This window comes from Homo sapiens, chromosome 1, assembly GCF_000001405.40.
Source record: "Homo sapiens chromosome 1, GRCh38.p14 Primary Assembly".
NCBI lineage: Eukaryota > Metazoa > Chordata > Mammalia > Primates > Hominidae > Homo > Homo sapiens.
This window is the reverse complement of record NC_000001.11, coordinates 196340742-196346942: the sequence shown is the minus strand read 5'-3', so window position 1 is coordinate 196346942 and position 6201 is coordinate 196340742. Positions and strand designations below refer to the sequence as shown.

The 6201-nt window shown below is 32.9% G+C and overlaps 1 protein-coding gene across 15 annotated transcripts in view; it reads left to right on the top strand.

Annotated features, from left to right (window-relative positions):
- Nucleotides 1-6201, top strand: part of KCNT2 (potassium sodium-activated channel subfamily T member 2) — a 382662-nt gene that overhangs the window by 261498 nt on the left and 114963 nt on the right. For 13 of the 15 annotated variants that reach the window (NR_146057.2, NR_146058.2, XR_001737149.3 and 10 more), the window contains one exon: nt 4715-4864. The exons of 1 other annotated variant lie outside the window; for it this stretch is intronic. Coding sequence is in view for 10 of the 14 variants with exons in the window: in NM_001287819.3 (NP_001274748.1) it covers nt 4715-4864 (150 nt within the window). In the remaining 4 variants the exon portion in view is untranslated. Of the gene's footprint in view, nt 1-3837; nt 3888-4714; nt 4865-6201 lie in introns of those variants that run through there. One more of the 15 variants, XM_017001183.2, reaches the window with a different exon arrangement.

The window sequence follows — 6201 nt, the reverse complement described above, 5'->3', positions numbered from 1 at the left end:
ATTTTTCATTAAATAAATATTTTTGAACATCTACTATGTCTTAGAACATGTTCTAGTCACCAGAAATCCTCCAGAAAACAAAGTAAACAACAGGGCTCAGTGGTTCCACTGCTACATTCTGCTGCAATTGGTGTTGGGTGAGATGTTGTGGCAGAAATAAAGAGTAATTAGCATTCAAATGAAGGTATAATATGTTGCTAACATAAAGATGTCAATTTCATCCAAATTTATTATTTTAATTCCATCCCAACAATCATACCAACACAACATTCTTTTTTAAAATAGATAAGCTGATTTTATATGATAAAATGAAGCAATCAGACAAGCAAGGAAAATTTTCAAGGTCAATAATAATGAGAGGGGATTATCTTATATACTTAAAAATAATGTGCAGTTACAATAATTGAAATAGTGTGCTATTAGTGAATTCACAGAGAAGAATCAATTAACAGGCTAGAAATTATATGTACCTCTAATACAGGCACAGATAATTAGGAATTTGGTGTTTGATAAAGGAGTTATTTTAAATTAGTGAGTAAAAAGATAGATTATTCAATACATTGAGTAACTGGGTGGATATTCAAAAAAGCTAAATTCAATACATTCATCATAGAAATGGAAAAATGATTACTTTCTGCCTAGAGAAAATATTAGTCCTAAAATATTAGTAAGTAGGGGATAGGGGAAGCTTATGTAATGTAGACCAAATGCTGCCCTGAAACACAGCAAGGAAGCAGTGAAAAATATACAAACAAAAAGCTTTAATTATTGGTACCAATCATGGAGGAGTTTTTTTGCCTTTTTGTGATGCATTTTATTTTTTATTTATTAGAAAATATTTCAGACATTCAAAAGGTATAAGAATATTATTATGAACACCCATGTACCTAGTATTCCAGATTTAAAAAAATAAACATGCCAAATGTTTGTGAAACCTCACATACACTATGTCTGTTTGACATCTCCTCTCTTTTTCTAGGACTTAGTTTGCTATAAAGCTGAATCTGCAGACTATTATTTTATTTAACATTTTGTATTTAAGATTTCCCCATGATGTCTTGTAAGCACTGGGACTTGCATTTTCACTGTTATCTATATGTATATTTATTTGTTTGTTTATCTATCCATGTTTCTTGTGACTAAGAATATTTAAGATTGTTATATATTTTTCTCTTCCATTAGCAAATTCTCGAAGTCTGCCTTCAGAACATACCCAGAATCTAACATGATCCAAACCATTATCATCTAGGTGGATCATTGCAATAATCCCCTCACTGGTCATTGTCTCTTCTTCAATCTGTTTTCAACACAATGACCAGAGGGATTTTATAAAATATGAATCAGACCTTTTGTACTAGTCTTCAAAAATCTCCAATGATTGCCAAGTCATCCCAATGAAAGGTCAAAGCCATAGTACAGTTATTTATAAAGTCCTACATGATCCCTCCTCCCAGCTAGTTACCTCTGTGGCCCCATTTTCTCCCCCTCCCTGAATTCCAGCTAAACTGGCTTCCCTGCTCTTCCTTAGCCGCATCAAGCATTAACTGTCTCAGGGAAGTGCTTGTAGCTACTTCTGCCTGTAATGGTCTTCTCCCAGACCTCTCTTGCCTTCTTCAAGATTTTTACTCAAATATCATCTTTTCCCTAGTCACACTATTTACATTTTATTCTACCTGCTAAAATATTAGCTCCCTTTCTGATTTATTTTTCTCCCCACAATTATCACCTCTAAACACAACACAATTTGCTTTTTCATGTTTATTGTTGGCCCTCTCCCACTAGTGGCTCTATGAGACAAGATATTTTTACCTTTTTTGTTAACTGCCATAACCTTTGAATCTAAAGCCTTTCCTGACGTTTCACAGGTGCTCAATAAATATTTTGTGTATTAGCTAATGAGTGGGGACTGGATATACACATCAGCATTAGATGTAATATTGATGTCTAGCATTTCTCAAGCAAATAACATGCGATGAAAATAACAAAGTTTGTATACTGACAATTAGATTAATTTAGAGATTCCAGGTTAACTATTAGAGGTTTTGAAGAAATCATAAAGAAAAAAAAAATTCCAACGAAATGACATCCTAAAAAAAGATGCTGCCTGAGGGGCAATGTGCCAGCATAAAATAGCAAGGCAATAAGCAAATTATTTAAGAAAATTTATCTGAACTGTCCTAGTCCGATTCCATCCATTTCTGTTCCCTTCCAAGTTACCACATTGTGTTCCCCTGTCAGCTTCTGGAATTAGATTTCTAATTCTCTTGAATAGCTTTTAGTACCCTTGCATGACAATTAGTTGACCTCATGCTGGCTTTTGGATCTCAAACAAATACTGATGAATTACCAGCACCATCTCATACATTTTCAGCCTTTCAGATAGATTCTGTTTTTGCCAAGTATCATCTTGCTAAATAGTAATGTGGTACAAAACAAAAATAACTTTATTTTTGTTTGCCAAAGGGAACGTTTTTTCCACCAGAGACAATCATTCTTAGGAAGTAGTAGCTAGATGTAGTCATATGCAATCAAAAATCAAAACTGTTTTATGTTGTTGTTTTCCTACTTCCAAAAATACGTTAACATTATGGAAGAATGGGCACAGGTTTTAAAAGCATTATTGTTTAGTAAGTCGACTAGGTTTATTTAAAATAGCTCCGGAATTTAGCAATGAGGAAGATGTAACATCAGAGTAATATTGGCAGCTTACATTTACTGCGTGTTTTCTCTGATCCCAACATCTCCCAAGTGATTTCTTTGTGTTACCTCATTTTATCTAACCCAATGAAGCTGATACTGTTTGTCACTGAAGAGATAAAGAATCACTGAAAAGTTAAATAACTCACAAAAGATTGTAGAGTTTGGCCAGGGGCGGTGGCTCACACCTATAATCCCAGCACTTTGGGAGGCCAAGGCGGGCGGATCGCCTGAGGTTGGGAGTTCAAGACCAGTCTGTCCAGCATGGTGAAACCCCATCTCTACTAAAAATACAAAAATTAGCTGGGCATGGTGGCAGGTGCCTGTAATCCCAGCTACTCGGGAAGGTTAGACAGGAGAATCGCTTGAACCCAGGAGGCAGAGGTTGCAGTGAGCTGAGATCGTGCCATTGCTGTCCAGCCTGGGCGACAAAGCAAGACTCCTTCTAAAAACACACAAATAAATAAAAATAAAAACAAAACAAAACAAAACAAAACACGATTATAGAGTTGGGACTCAGATTAGACAATCAAACTCCAGGGCCCAGGCTCTTAACTCTTTAAGCATACTTAAGAAGGAATGAGGCAGCAATGAGGCATACTTAGAAAATATAGATATTTTTTAAAGCTTATTGACAATTTGAAAATATTGACAAATGTTACCTTCCTAATAACCCTTTAGACAATACTCAGTTTAAAATGGCCTTTAAAGTCCTAAACATGGTTGTAATGTCTTGTGATCTGTTTTGATCCATTAAGAATTGATTAGAGATTATGATAAATTATTTTGATTTTTATATATTTATCATATTGCTTCTAAAATGTGCTTTTTTGTAGAGTTCATAAGTGTTATTCAGCAAAGGTAAATGAATTTATTATATAAAATGAGAAATAACCTATTTATATATCCATTATGAATTTCTCATAAATTGAATTTTTAATATATTTCTAAAGCCACTGAGTTAGGCGGGCAGCGCAGAACGTTCCAGAACAAAAGACATTGTACTTTTTGTGGTAAAATTATCTTCTTTATAAAAATACTTTTGTGGGATGTCTTTTGGAGATTTAGTCAGTTCAGGCTGTTATTACAAATTACCACAGCTTGGGCATTTTATAAACAACAGAAATTCATTTCTTACAGTTCTGAAGGCTGGAAATCCAAGATCTAGGTGCCAACATGATCCAGTGCTGGTGAGGGCCCCCTTCTGAGTTTTAAACTGCTGACTTGTATTTTCACATGGCGGGAAGATAGCTCTTTAGCATCTTTTTAAAAGGCACTAATTCCATTCCTGAGGGCTCCACTCTCATAACCTAATTGCCTCTCAAAGGCCACACTCCCAAATACCATCATAATGGGATTAGGATTCCAACATGAATTTTGTGGTTACAAGAATATTCAGTTAGTTGGAGAGATCCTTACATTTAAAATAAGAAAAGTGTCTTTTCGTGACTGCTATACAATTGGAAGAAAGTTATTGCTACGATATGAACAAAAACTAAAGGTATATTTTCTATAAAATCAAAGATAAATTGAGATAAATTTGTAATTTTAAGTATAAAGCAAAATAAAATACCTACAGCAGCCACGCAGGTATCATAGGTAAGATAACGTTGGCCATATTATGGAGACTGTACAACAAATTTTAGAAGATATACATGATAGGATATGTATATAAAGAGAGACTAAAATCCTGTATCTCATTGATTCATTGTGAGAGTAAAGCTTTTCATTAGCTGGATCTTGGAAAACTCCCACTTTCTACAAAACTGTCATTTCTCAAGCATATATATATATATACATATATATATATATATATATATATATAGTATTCAAAATTTTTTAGAAACTCTTGCATATAATGTCATCTTCAGACTTCAAAGCATTACTCAGATGCTCCTTTGGATTGTGCTTGCCAGTTCTTACACAGTTGAGAAACAGTTCTATAACAACTGTTTTTTAACCACATTCACTGTGTTTTCTTTTTGTGTGTGTGTATGTGTGTGTGCCTGTGTTGCAGAGAAGGCCAGCAATCGCCAGAACAATGGCAGAAGATGTACGGTAGATGCTCCGGGAATGAAGTCTACCACATTGTTTTGGAAGAAAGTACATTTTTTGCTGAATATGAAGGAAAGAGTTTTACATATGCCTCTTTCCATGCACACAAAAAGTATGTTTCTGCCTCAGAGAAAAATTAAAATATCAATCAGTCAAGCATATCATGTGAAAATAGTTTTCAAAAATAGAATGCATATTGTGTTCATGTGTTTAGGCATTCCGGAATTTTTGTCACAATATTCCCCAATGTTGAAACATTTGAACCCTGGTGTCTGTATGGTCTCTATAAGACAGTCAGGAGTAAATTATAATTTAGTAGGAATATTTCATTTAGCCACTTTTAAAGTCTTTTTAAAATATTTTAATCCATTAAGAATTTACATACATATGAAAATCTTCTTCACAGATCTGAATTTTAAGATGTTGATTAGGAACTAAAACAAAGTAACACTAATATTTCTAAAAACTGTACATTTGAAAAAAAAATCTCTGATGGTGGCCCTTGTTTTGGCCTGAGAAATAAGTTAAAAAATAAATAAAACTACCTTCCAATTCAAACATAGAACTTTTTTTTTCTTTTCCTTTTTGGAAAAAAAAAGGATTTACTTAAGAAGTAAAAATGTATGTATATAATGAAAATAACATATTATCTGTATTAAATGTTTTAATGTGACACATTTTGGAGGATTTACAATATACGTATATAGTCTACTAACTAATCTATTATGTAATGTACAGGAACCCCCAACTTATGATGCTTTGACTTACTATTTTTTTACCATGATGGTACAAAACAATAGCCATTCAGTAGAAACCATACTTCCAGTATCCATACAATCATTTTATTTTTCACTTTCAGTAGAATATTCAATAAATTACATAAGATATTTAACACTTTATTATAAAACAGGCTTGGTATTAGATGATTTTGCCCAACTGTAGGCAATGTAAGTGTTATGAGTATGTTTAAGGTTGGCTAGGTTAAAACTATGATATTTGTTAGGCTAGCTGTATTAAAAGCATTTTTTATTTAACAATATTTTCAACTTATGCTGGGTTTATCAGGACATAACTCTATTATAAGTCAAGGAGCTTCTGTATTCTACTTTACTTTTTTTTTCTGACTAAGTACATACCTATTTAAGACTATTTAAATATATATATTTTTTCTAAAATTTAAAGTAAACCAACTGTGATAAATTCAGGGACCCTGGTTCTCTTTCAGGTGACCATGGGTAAGTTTCTTTCCTTTGGCCAATAGTTTTAAGCTTTTTATTTATTTTTTTTAACCAAAGTAAGATATGCTGTTTATGTTTTTTGACCAAAGTAAAATTGTTGTAAAAATTCGCAAAATAATGTTACCCTTAGTGTATACATGCACTCATGTTTCTTATGTTCTTCCATTCATTTTCATTAAAATGTAAATTTATAGTGGTCATAATCAGCTAA